Source organism: Homo sapiens, chromosome 3, assembly GCF_000001405.40.
Source record: "Homo sapiens chromosome 3, GRCh38.p14 Primary Assembly".
NCBI lineage: Eukaryota > Metazoa > Chordata > Mammalia > Primates > Hominidae > Homo > Homo sapiens.
This window is the reverse complement of record NC_000003.12, coordinates 113,815,870-113,829,244: the sequence shown is the minus strand read 5'-3', so window position 1 is coordinate 113,829,244 and position 13,375 is coordinate 113,815,870. Positions and strand designations below refer to the sequence as shown.

Below are 13,375 nucleotides of genomic sequence, written 5' to 3'. Positions count from 1 at the left end.
TCCCTATGTTGCCCAGACTGGTCTTAACTCCTGGCCTCAAATGATCCTCCTGTTCTGGCCTTCCCTCGTGCTGGGATTACAGATGTGAGCCACTGCACCCAGCCTAAGGTTGATTTTTACCAGGCAAGTACGCTAAGTCACAAGAGAAGCAAGGGAGATAAGTATGTATGCAAGGATTTGGCAATAATGATTGCCCCTGGAGTCCAAGCAGGGTTAAGAAGCAAAATAAGGTCATAAGAGTGTCAAGGCCAATGAAAGTGTGAGGATTAAATGTTTGTAAATCTAGTTGAGATTAAAGGACTGCTGGTGATAGAAGTGATGAGTTGGAAAGATACAAATGGTACTTGAAACTGAGATTGTGGACAAATTGCAGTTATAATGATAAGTTCTATGATATGAGCATGAGAGTGGGTGGCTGACAGGAGTGGTGGTTCAGATTGTTGGGGCAGAGGACAAGGCACTAAGAAACCAGGAATTGAAAGTATAACCTTAGTGGCTATTGAAATCACCAAGTGCAGAAAGAGTAGGGTAGAAGAAAGCGACATGAGCAAGGAGCAAAAATCTTCAATGAAAAAGGGAACATGGATTGTGAGTTTATAGATGACTCCAATAAGAAAAGGCAACTGGTGGCATAGTGTTCTGACATGAAATTCAAAGATAGAGTGTTAGGGAAGAGTGAAGGAAAAGAGTCTGGAAGTAATAGGAAAAAAGAAGACAATCACTTTTTCTTGGGCCCATTGGTGCTCCAGCTACTATAGTTGCATGACAAATCACCCAAAACCTTAGTGGCTGAAAACAATAATCATTCATTATTTCATGGTTTCTGTGGGTCAGGAACCTGGAGCAGCTCAGCTCCTCAGTTCTAGCTCATGGGCTTTCAGAGGTTGCCCTTAATCAAGTGGATATCCAGTCATCAGAAGACCTGATAGTGGCTGGAGGATCCACTTCTATGGTGTCTCACTTACATGGCCGGGCACCTGGTACTGGCTATTGGTTTGGGACCTCAATTCCTCTCCATATGGACATCTTCACAGAGCTGCTTCAGTCCTCATTGCATGGCAGTGCCTTTCCTCAGAGCAGGTAATCCAGGATACCAAGGTGAGGACTACAGTGCCGTTTATGACCTAACCTTGGAAGTTATAGACTATCATTTACACCGCATTCTATTGGGGTCAGTCAGCTCTGATTCACTGAGGGAGGTGACTCCACAGGGCATGAATGATAGAGGCCAGGATCAATGGAGGCCTTATTGATTGGAGGCCAATGGAGGCCAGGATCAAAGAAGGCCAGATCAATGGGAAGTTACAAGTGATATGATGGTGTGGGAGAGGAAACAGACACCACTTGAGAGGGCTTCAGGGAAAGCCGTTTCCTCTCAAGTTTCAGGGGAAAACCAAGTATCAGTGCAAGCTTGTCCAACCCGTGGCCCACAGGCCACATGCGTCCTAGGACAGCTTTGAATGCAGCCCAACACAAATTCGTAAACTTTCTTAAAATATTATGAGAGTTTTTTGCCATCAGCTGTCATTAGTATTAGTGTATTTTATTTTATTTTATTTTAAGATGGAGTCTCGCTCTGTCACCCAGGCTGGAGTGCAGTGGTGCGATCTTGGCTCACTGCAACCTCTGCCTCCCGGGTTCAAGCAATTCTCCTGCCTCAGCCTCCTGAGTAGCTGGGACTACAGGTGCATGCCACCACGCCCGGCTAATTTTTTGTATTTTAGTAGAGGCGGGGTTTCACCGTGTTGCCCAGGCTGGTCTCAAACTCCTGAGCTCAGGCAATCCGCCTGCCTCGGCCTCCCAAAGTGCTGGGATTACAGGCATGAGCCACTGTGCCCGGCCTAGTGTTAGTGTATTTTATATGTGGTCTGAGACAATCCTTCTTCCAATGCAGCCCAGTGAAGCCAAAAGATTGGACACCCTTGAGTTAGAACAAGATGAAGAAAGATTTTTAGAGAATTTTCAGAGAAAACTCAAAGAACTTAGGTTATAGAAGATTTTGTTGGCTGGGTGCGGTGGCTCACGCCTGTAATCCCAGCACTTTGGGGGGCCGAGGCAGGCAGATTGCCTGAGCTCAGGAGTTCACAACCAGCCTGGGCGACATGGTGTTGAAACCCCTCCTCTACTAAAATACAAAAAATTAGCCGGGCGTGGTGGCATGCACCTGTAGTCCCAGCTATTCGGGAGGCTGAGGCAGGAGAATGGCATGAACCCAGGAGGCCGAGCTTGCAGTGAGCCGAGATAGTGCCACTGCACTCCGGCCTGGGTGAAAGAGCAAGACTCCATCTCAAAAAAAAAAAAAAGATTTTGTTCATGTCTGATCCTGAATTCCACAACGCACTAGGGAGGGAGTTTTGGAGTTAAGGGCAGGGCTGGTGGGGAAGAAATGAGTGCTGAGGAAATAGATAGGGTGCTCAGAAGCATGCAGCAGTCCTAGGGTCACCTCTTTATTTTATCCCAAGGAGGCCCAGAGGTGGGCTACCGATGGTATGCCACTTTTTGCCCCTTCACTAAGTAGAGTGTTCCTGAAGTACAGCTCTGTAACTCACATTTCAATATTAGAAAGAGCTTGAAGGAGTTTACAAACTTCACTCTTTCAAATTTGTTAAATGTTCAGTATGACTAGTTTTAGTATAGATCCTTGGGAAATGTCATTGTTAATTTTTATCACTTTTTTCTAGTTTTGCTAACCCATAAATAGTGAGTTAACATATCTTTATAGACCTAATGAAGTGGGTCATGCCTGTAATCCTAGCTTTTGGGAGGCTCAGATGGAAGGATTGCTTGAGGCCAGGAGTTCAAGACCAGCCTGGGCATCACAGCAATCCATCCCTAGGAAAATTTTTAAAATGTGTGTGTGTGAGTGTGTGTGTGTGTGTGTGTGTGTGTGTGTGTGTGTGTGTGTACACATATGTATCTAACTTTGTTCCTTCCTGAAACCCACCCAAATTGCAATAAAAGGAGTTGTGGACAGACAGAACAGGAGAGGAAGCAAGAGCAAGAAACTTGTAAGCTGAAAGGCAGGGGAATGAATTGCAACTGAATTATAAAACTCACTCTCTCTGACCATATTTTTGCCAGACATCTAGTGTCTGGTCCAGGTGCTCAAAGTCTGGTGAGTCCTAGGCTTTCCAGGACTGCCTGTAGGGCTCCTGCCCACTGACTTTCCAAAATGACCTCTAGGACAACCAAGGACCAAGCTGATTTACACCTCAGAATGCCCAAAAAACATGGGAAGACAACACCAAAATACCTGTGACACTGATGATTAAATAAGGAAAGAAGTAGAATTGTAGCTAAAATAAGGACTCAGGTCAAAGCTGCTTGCTTTATTTTTATTTTTTTATTTTTGAGATGGGGTCTCACTCTGTCGCCCAGGCTGGGTTGCAGTGGCACCATCTTGACTCACTGCAGCTTCCACCTCCTGGGTTCAAGCAAGTCTCCTACCTCAGCCTCCCGAGTAGCTGGGATTTACAGGGGCGCGCCACCATGCCCGCATTTTTAGTAGAGATGGGTTTTCGCCATGTTGGCCAGGCTGATCTCAAACTCCTGACCTTAGGTGATCTGCCCATCTCAGCCTCCCAAAGTGCTGGGATTACAGGCATGAGCCACCACTCTGGCCAGGTCAAAGCTGTTTGAAAAGCAGTTATATCCCTAGGTCATCTCCTTGTCTCCATGCTGCTAGGCAATTTTAATTTTCAGATGTATATGTCTCAAAAAATATGCCACCCACCTTACTTAAGAAACAAGCTACTGGAGAAACAGCTCATTAAGAAACCAGTAAAGATAAAATGTGGGCGATGAAAAACAAGCACTAGGATAGAGATGGCATTCCCCAAGTGGTAGATCCCAGAATGACAGCTGCAGACTAGACATAGAAGGCAAGTAGTCCAGATTGGAGCCATGCAACTCAAGAGACAAGCTGATTGAGTGCTGTCATCACCAAGATCCCTATTGCCATTTATCTTCTTTTTAGCTGAAGACAGAATTTCCCTATGAGTCATGTTCAGAATCTTTTGTGTACTTTGCTTGTGAAGTTCCTATTCTCCCTCCATGCTCTGCTGCTTCACCCCACAGATTTCTGGTTTGACTTACTCCTGAGAACGAGAGGTAGCTATGATGGGTTTAGAAGCAGAAAACACAGAACAGTCCATTTTCTCTGACCATATTTTTGCCAAACATCCAGAATCTGGTCCAGGTGCTCAAAGTCTGCTTGAGTCCTAGGCTTTCCAGGATTCCTGAAGGCTCCTGCTCACTGACTTCCCTAAAAAAAGACTGTTTATTAACTCTCCGGGAACCTAACGCCAGATTATGATCAGTTTCTTTTCTCCTGAAAGGCTTTAAAAATCTGATAGTGACACCAGTCACCCTTTGCTTACACAGGAACATAGGTGACATATCTATAAATTAAAACAAGGCACTGATTAACACAAAAATCAGAGTAATGTTTATCTTTGGGGAAGGAAGAGAGTTGCAATTGGTGAGGGCTTCTATGTTACTCCAATATTCTATTTCTTTCTCTTTTTTTTTTGGAGATGAAGTCTTGCTCTGTCTCCCAGGCTGGAGTGCAATGGCGCATTCTTGGCTCACTGCAATCTTTGCCTCCGGGGTTTAAGCAATTCTCCTGCCTCAGCCTCCCAAGTAGCTGGGATTACAGGCATGCGCCACCATGCCTGGCTAATTTTTAAATTTTTGGTAGAGACAGGGTTTCACCATGTTGGCCATGCTGGTCTCAAACTCTTGACCTCAGGTGATCCACCCACCTTGGTCTCCCAAAGTGCTGGGATTACAGGCGTGAGCCACCATGCTCGGCCCCATATTCTATTTCTTAATCTGAGTGATGGGTACATACATATGTATGTTTTTTTTAATTGTCCATGTTAATACTATATATTTTTCTGTAAATAAACATTTACTTAAAAAATAAATATTTTTAAGTAAATAAACAATGAAAGTAATTATGTTTTTATTTAAATGTTGCTTATTGAGTATTGGATTGACAAACATTTTTGTTTTGATTTGAATAGTTTTTGTAGGATAAATATATACAGACACATATATATATATATATCTTAAAAGGAAAAAACCAATATAGAAAAACAGGCTTAGGCTGGGCACAGTGGCTCATGCCTGTAATCCCAACACTTTGAGAGGCCGAGGTGGGAGGATCATCTGAGGTCAGGAATTGGAGACCAGCCTGGCCAATGTGGCGAAACCCCGTCACTACAAAAAATACAAAAATTAGCTGGGCATGGTGGCGTGTAATCACAGCTACTCTGGAAGCTGAGGCAGGAGAATCACTTGAACTTGGGAGGCTGGAGGCAGAGGTTGCAGTGAGCCGAGATAGTGTCACTGCACCCCAGCCTTGGCAACAGAGCGAGACTGCATCTCAAACAAACAAACAAACAAACAAAGCGGGCTTAAGTTAAGTTGGGTAGAGAAAGGGATAAAATTTCCAGGGACTATAGAATGAGATCCACTGAACAGAACAAAGTTTAAGGCTGGTAAAATAAGGATATGTGCAAAATAGAAGCCAGTGTTAGAGTGAAAAGAGAAAAGTACAAACTGAGAGAGTTCCTAGGTCATTTGCTAAGGATATTAGATTTCCAGATTCACATTTCATTAAACTATAAATTATTTAAATACAACTTGTGTCAATTTCTGAAATGAGATGCCTTATATTATCTAATGTTGCACTATAACCTATGGTGTTAAATAAATTAACCTACCTAAATTTGACCTGCCATCTCTCTCATTCCTCTCCTTTCTGCCTCAATGATATCCACCAACCTCTCAATTTTAGCATTGCTATTTTAAGTAAAAATGCTTTGCCTTTACAAATAAATAAGCAAATGTTTTCCAATAAACTATTGATAGCGTAATTAAATTTAGAAATTAATGGCCGGGTGCGGTGGCTCGCGCCTGTAATCCCAGCACTTTGGGGGGCCAAGGCGGGCGGATCACGAGGTTAGGAGATCGAGACCAATCTGGCTAACACGGTGAAACCCCGTCTCTACTAAAAATACAAAAAATTAGCCTGGCGTGTTGGCGGGACCTGTAGTCCCAGCTACTCGGGAGGCTGAGGCAGGAGAATGACATGAACCCGGGAGGCAGAGCTTGCAGTGAGCCGAGATCGCATCACTGCACTCCAGCCTGGGCAACAGAGCAAGACTCCATCTCAAAAAAAAAGAAATTACCAAACATGTTGAGACAATGTTTTCCTTTACATAATACTCTTCCTGAAAATTAGGCATTTTTAGAAATGACATTCTCTATTTAATTGAACCTTATAGGCCACAGGAGTATTATTTAATAAAAATCTCTAGCGAGATTATTAGCAATTTAGCAGTTATAATTCATGGATAAGTGTTAATTCAGCCAACTAAACATAAAAATAGAAATTGTGTTCATTGTGATTAGAAACCCATGCTAAAAATATATAAAATATAAAATGTGTAGTATTTTTTGAGTAGCTACGTTTGTTGGAAGCAGAGGCAAGAATATAAATATTCATGAGTATCTTTCCTTGGATCACACAATGGTGCATTTAAACGTAAGTATAGGCCAGGTGCATTGGCTCACACCTGTAATCCCAGCACTTTGGGAGGCCAAGGCAGGAGGATTATTTGAGTCCAGGAGTTCAAGACCAGCCTGGGAAACCTGGCAAAACCCTGTCTCTACAAAAATACAAAAATTAGCTGGGTGTGGTGGTACGTGCCTGTGGTCCCAGCTACTCAGGAGGTTGAGGTGGGAAGATTGATCATTTGAGCCTGAAAGGTCAAGGCTGCAGTGAGCCATCATCGTGTCACTGCACCCCAGCCTGAGCAACAGAGTAAGGCCTTGTCCAAAAAAAAAAAAGGGGTATCTAGGCAAAATAAAAATGATACTAGGCTGGACATGGTGGCTCATGCCTGTAATCCCAACACTTTGGAAGGCCAAGGTAGGAGGATTGCTTGAGATTGACAGTTGAGACCAGCCTGGGCAAAATAGTGAGCTCTCATCTCTCCAAAAAAATCTTTTAATTAACTGGGTGTGGCAAGTCCCAGCTACTCAGGAGGCTGAAGTGGGAGAATTGCTTGAGCCTGAGGTCCGAGGCTACAGTAAGCCATGATCACACCACTGCACTCCAGCCTAGGTGACAGAGCCAGACTTTGTCTCAAAAAAAAAAAAAAAAAAAAAAGAAAAATTTGGTAGTGTGACTGAGAAGCCTGTAATCCTAGCACTTTGGGAGGCCGAGGAGGGAGGATTGATTGAGCTCAGGAGTTTGAAACCAGCCTGGGCAACATAGTTAGACCTTGTCTCTACAAAAAAATTAAAAATTAGCCTGGCATGGTCGCGTGTGCCTGTAGTCCCAGCTACTCAGGAGGTTAAGGCATGAGGATCACTAGATCCTGGGAAGTCAAGGCTGCAGTAAGCTATGACCATGCCATTGCACTCCAGCCTAAGCAAGACCCTATCTCAAAAATAAAATAAAATAAAAATAAGTACAACCTTTGGAAAACAGCATCTATATGTGAATCAAATTCTAGAATAGAAGAAAGACATTGGAGAAAAAGATGTGGGCCCTCCTGGGCACCATAACAAGACCCTGTCTTTGAAAAAAAAAATTTTTTTTTTAATTAGCAAGAGGTGGTGGTGCATGCCTGAAGTCCCAGCTACTCGGGAGACTGAAGTGGGAGGATTGCTTGGGCCCAGAGCAAGCCCATATCACAAAAGAGAGAGAGAGAGAGAAAGAAAGGAAGGAAGGGAGGAAGGAAGGAAGGAACGAAGGAAGGAGCTGACTTGAATTCTTAATTCTCTCAAAATGAAGGCTGACACATTGAAGAAGCTTTCTATAAAATGATGCAAAAATGTTCAAAATGGGTAGGTATCTTAATGAAAAAATAATACATTCTCTCTCTCTGTCTTTTTTTTTTTTTTTTGGAATACAATGTTTCTTTTTCCTTTTTTTCTTTCTTTTTTTTTTGAGATAGAGTCTCGCTCTGTTGCCCAGGCTGGAGTGCAGTGGCTTGATCTCGCTCACTGCAAGCTCCGCCTCCCGGGTTCACGCCATTCTCTTGCCTCAGCCTCCTGAGTAGCTGGGACTACAGGCGCCCGCCACCATGCCTGGCTAATTTTTTGTAGTTTTAATAGAGACAAGGTTTCACTGTGTTAGCCAGGATGGTGTCGATCTCCTGACCTTGTGATCCACCCGCCTCAGCCTCCCAAAGTGCTGGGATTGCAGGCGTGAGCCACCGTGCCTGGCTTTTTTTTTTCTTTCGAGATGGAGCCTCGTTCTGTCACCCAGGCTGGAGTGCAATGGCACAATCTTGGCTCACTGCAGCCTTCACCTCCCAAGTTCAAGCAAGTCTCCTGCCTCAGCCACCCAAGTAGATGAGACTACAGGTGCCCACCACCACACCCAGCTGATTTTTGTATTTTTTGTAGATATGGGGTTTCACCATGTTGGTCCGGTTGGTTTCCAACTCCTGATCTCAAGTGATCCACCTGTCTCAGCCTCCCAAAGTGTTGGGAGTACAGGCATGAGCCACTGCACCTGGCCCAAAATAATACATTCTTTTTTTTTTTTTTTTTCCTGGAGACAGGGTGTCACCCAAGCTGGAGTGCAGTGGCACCATCTTGGTTCACTGCAACCTCTGTCTCCCAGGTTCAAGCGATTCTCCTGCCTCAGCCTCCCGAATAGCTGGGATTACAGGCGTCTGCCACCATACCCGGCTAATTTTTGTATTTTTAGTAGAAATGGGGTTTTACCATGTTGGCCAGACTGGTCTCAAACTCCTGACCTCACATGACCCATCCGCCTCGACCTCCCAAAGTCCTGGGATTACAGGCGTGAGCCACAGCTCATGGCCTAATACATTCTTAATATATCACTTGAAGGCCTTCTTTTAGTGAGAACTTTCCGGAACAAGACAACCCTATGATTCTGTTCAATATAACTGTAAAAATCACAGTAGTTATTTCTGCTCAGTGAGAATTTTGTGGAAGAGGAAATGTCTTAATTTCAGTTCTCTAGGAACAGAGCCTGAGAATGAGATTCCTGTGAAAGTGGCTTATTGAGGACGTGCTGCTCAGGTGAAACTCATAAGGGAGTGAGGAAAGTAGCAGAGAGAAGGAGAAATAGAAGATGCTGATGTGGGTGCAACTGAAGTTTCTCCTCAGCCTGGTCCCACAGGGAGCGCTGGAGCATCACAGACTGGTGTCACCTTGAGGCAAGAGGACTGGTCTTTGATACCCTCATATTGATTTGGGTGCAGTTGGGTGTGTGGGTGGGGAAAACAGAGGGCTTCAGCTTCCAGGCCTAGCCAGATGTGGCAGCTGCTGTTAGTTGAGGGCAAGTTTCAGTACAAATATGCTGCTGCGAATTCTTATCAGCCAATACTCCATCAGAATATGTGAACTGGCCTGGCAAAGGGAATATGTGCATTTCACCAGCAGGGGCTATTACAAGTAATATTTCTTTTCTTTTTTTTGAGACAGAGCCTCGCTGGCCAGGCATGGTGACAGGCGCCTTTAGTCCCAGCTACTTGGGGGACTGAGGTGGGAGGATCACTTGAGCCTTGACCCAGGAGGTCAAGGCTGCAGTGAACCAAGATGGCACCACTGCACTCCAGCCTGGGTGACAAAGTGAGACCCTGCCTCAAAAAGAAAAAACAAAAAACAAGCAAAACCAAAAACTTATTTGGCAGTAGTTTAATCAAAGTTAATGCCAACAGGTTATGATTCAAATATCAAGAAATATGTTCTATTAATTTTGAAGTACTTACTTCCTGAAGAGGTTTGCATTTGATGATGAATTTCTATATAATACAAGGCTAACATTTACCTTGAATCCTTCTAAAGGTATTCAGTAGGCACTTGTATTTTTTTTAATTAATTTTTTTTTTTTTTTTTTGAGCCAGAGTCTCGCTCTGTCACCCAGGCTGGAGTGCAGTGGCACAATCTCGGCTCACTGCAAACTCTGCTTCCCAGGCTCAAGTGATCCTCCTGCCTCAACCTCCCAAGTAGCTAGAATTACAAGCATATGCCACCATGCATGGCTAATTTTTGTATTTTTAGTAGAGATGGGGTTTCACCATGTTGACCAGGCTGGTGTTGAACTCCTGACCTCGTGATCTCCCATCACAGCCTCCCAAAGTGCTGGGGATTATAGGCATGAGCCACCATGCTCGGCCTAAAACTTTTTTTTAATAGAGACAGGGTCTCACTATATTGCCCAGGCTGGTCTTGAACTCCTGGACTCAAGCAATCCTTCCACCCCTGCCTCCCAAAGTGTTAGGCTTACAGGCATGAGCCACTGTGCCTGGCCAGTAAGCACTTATTTTAACTGATACTAAAACAGTCAGTCCGATTTTTGACTTACAAGCAGGGTTGCTGAAATTTCTGTCATTTGAAAACCACCCTCATTTTTGCCATATCTTTTTACTTCTGTGATTTTATGTACTTAATAGTGTTCTTTAAAAATGAATCACTTTTAAAAATATTGAATAGTTTGGCTGCCTCCTTAAGCAAATCCTTGAAATCATGGATTTAAACTACTAAATGTTGCCTCTATACATTAAAATGCATACTATTCATCTGCCTCTTTCCTAAAACCATCTCACAGCACTGAGGTACACTGTGCAGGTTTCCCTTTGCGGAAGGCTTGCTGCCCAGCTGCCAGGAGTATGGTCAGCATACAGCCTCCAGCTATCAGCTCCTTCTTACTCTACAGTTGCTGAAAACCACCCAATCTGAGATGACATTCTCACAGGTATCTTGAATCTGGGAACCAAGAGAGGCACAGGTGTAAAGGCCAGGCCATTTTAGGCTGATGCATGTCAACTCTGGCAAACTCCAGAGGTTCCGCCTAGGAGTGGACAAGTCTGTCAGGCCTGCTTTGTACTTTACTTATTTTCTGCCCAACCCTGCTTTTGCTCCCTTCCTTTCCAAGTTGTTTATTGCTAGTTAACAACTTGCATCCCAAGCTCCACCTAGATGAGCTCTGGAAGTTCATCTGCTTCCAGAAAACTCAACCTGTAATTCCATGCTTGGGGAAATACTGTCATAAATCATATAAGGGTAAATGTCAAAAGGGCTTTATAAAGACTTTAAAATAAAACATGCAATTTAAAAATTAAGGCCATAAATATGATTTTATGTGCCAGGTGCAGTGGCTCGCGCCTGTAATCCCAGCACTTTGGGAGGCCAAGGCAGGCAGGTCACCTGAGGTCGGGAGCTCGAGACCAGCCTGACCAACATGGAGAAACCCCATCTCTACTAAAAAATACAAAATTAGCCAGACATGGTGGTACATGCCTGTAATCCCAGCTACTCGGGAGGCTGAGGCAGGAGAATTGCTTCAACCCAGGAGGCAGAGGTTGCGGTGAGCTGAGATCGCGCCATTGCACTCCAGCCTGGGCAACAAGAGCGAAACTCCATCTCAAAAAATAAAAATAAAAAATAATAATAAAGGGGCATGATCATGTCTCACTGTGGCCTTGACCTCCTGAGTTTAAGTGATCCTCCCACCTCAGCCTCCCAAGTAGCTGGGACTACAGCCATGTGCCACCATGCCCAGCTAATTTTTAATTTTTTTGTAGAGAGGAGGTCTTACTATGTACGTGGCTCAGGCTGATCTTGAACTTCTGGGATCAAGCAATCCACCTGCCTTGGCCTCCCATAGTGCTGGGATTACAGATGTGAGCCACTGTGCATAGCCAACAAATGCTATTTTTTAAAATGGAACTAAATTATACTCCTTTATAATTATGTTCACAAGCTAAGCCTGTGTATAACAACATCAAAATATGTTGCAGAATTTTGATTCCTTTTTAAAATCTCCTATGTATAGAGAAATGGACAGAAAAAAACCTGTTGGTTCATTCAGTAAAATACCTGAAACTACTGTAATAGAATCCTGTTTAAAATCCATAGGCATTACAGTTATTATTGCTAAAATTTCATGATTTAGGAAAACTTTGAGTGCCAGGCTATTCTGAGTCTAAATGAGTCAGAATACATGTGAATCAGCAGAGCACAGTTTAAGGTAAGTACCAAGGAACATCTTAAAGGATAAATGGTTCTGCAACATCTTATAATGCTGAGATTATGATAAAACTAGTCAACATTTGGGAGAATGCTTATTTAAATCTAAGTCTCTCATGTTACTTTTTTTTTTTTTTTTTGAGATGGAGTCTCGCTCTGTCACTCAGGCTGGAGTGCAGTGGCGCAATCTCGGTTCACTGCAACGTTTGCCTCCTGGGGTTCAAGCAATTCTCCTGCCTCCGCTTCCCGAGTAGCTGGGATTACAGGCACGTGCCACCACGCCCAGCTAATTTTTGTAGTTTTAGTAGAGACGGGGTTTCCCAATGTTAGCCAGGATGGTCTCGATCTCTTGACCCTGTGATCCGCCCATCTTGGCCTCCTAAAGTGCTGGGGTTACAGGCGTGAGCCACTGCGCCCGGCCTCATGTTATTTTTCATAGCTAAGCATGGAATAAAGATAGTTGTTTCCCAAAACTTGCCCCATGGTAAGAATCACTTGGAATGCTTGTTAAATCTATTCCCCTACCCTTTCCCTAGACCAGAGATTCCAATTCAGGTTGGTCTGGGGCAGGGCCTGGGAATCCGTATTAACACAATTCCATGTTTCTTACATTCAGACAAGTTTGGGAAACATCTAATTAAGATGTATAATTATTTAAAACATTAAACCTGTTTCTAACAGCCATCCATTGCTGCTTTAGGGGCTGTGATATGTATTCACGGACACCTGAGTACGTATTTGTATGCAACTGGCTACAGCACTGTGAAGAGACAACAGTTTATGCATTCTATGACTGTGTTCCAAGGACAGACTATTCCCCAAATCCAGGTCAGCTATCCAACAAAGCAAGCTATTGATTGCAAAGAGAATTGAAAGTGCCTGAACTGAAACATTTAAATCTATTACTGCTGCTAGGAAAGCGTAAGTTTAAAAATCAAACAAACAAACAAAAAAACATCATTTTCTTATTAGGTAAAACCTAAAAGTATTTTTTAAACCACCACTATATATTTCTTAATGCAAAACTACTTTAAATAGAAACCTTTTGAGTATAATCGTTACTTGTTTTTGTAAACTTATTAGTAAAGTATGATGTATATACAGAAAAGTGCTTGAATCGTGTACATGAATTTTTACAAAGTGAACTCATCTTTGTTATCAGGACCCACATCAAGAACCAGAACATTATCAGCACTCTGGAAGCCCCCCTTCTGCTACCCTCCTGTTATTTTATTTATTTATTTTTTTGAGATGGAGCCTTGTTCTGTTCCCAGGCTGGAGTGCAGTGGCACAATCTCAGCTCACTGCAACTTCCGCCTCCCAGGTTCAAGCAATCCTCCTGCCTCAG

The 13,375-nt window shown here is 43.5% G+C and overlaps 1 protein-coding gene across 1 annotated transcript in view; it reads right to left on the bottom strand.

Moving 5' to 3' along the window:
- The window catches only part of GRAMD1C (GRAM domain containing 1C), a 118,983-nt gene extending 117,930 nt beyond the window's left edge, over window positions 1-1,053 (bottom strand). Inside the window, exon 1 of the mRNA XM_011512930.2 lies at window positions 966-1,053. The gene's annotated coding sequence lies outside the window, so the exon portion shown is untranslated. The remainder of the gene's footprint in view (window positions 1-965) is intronic.
- Window positions 1,054-13,375: the final 12,322 nt, after the last annotated feature.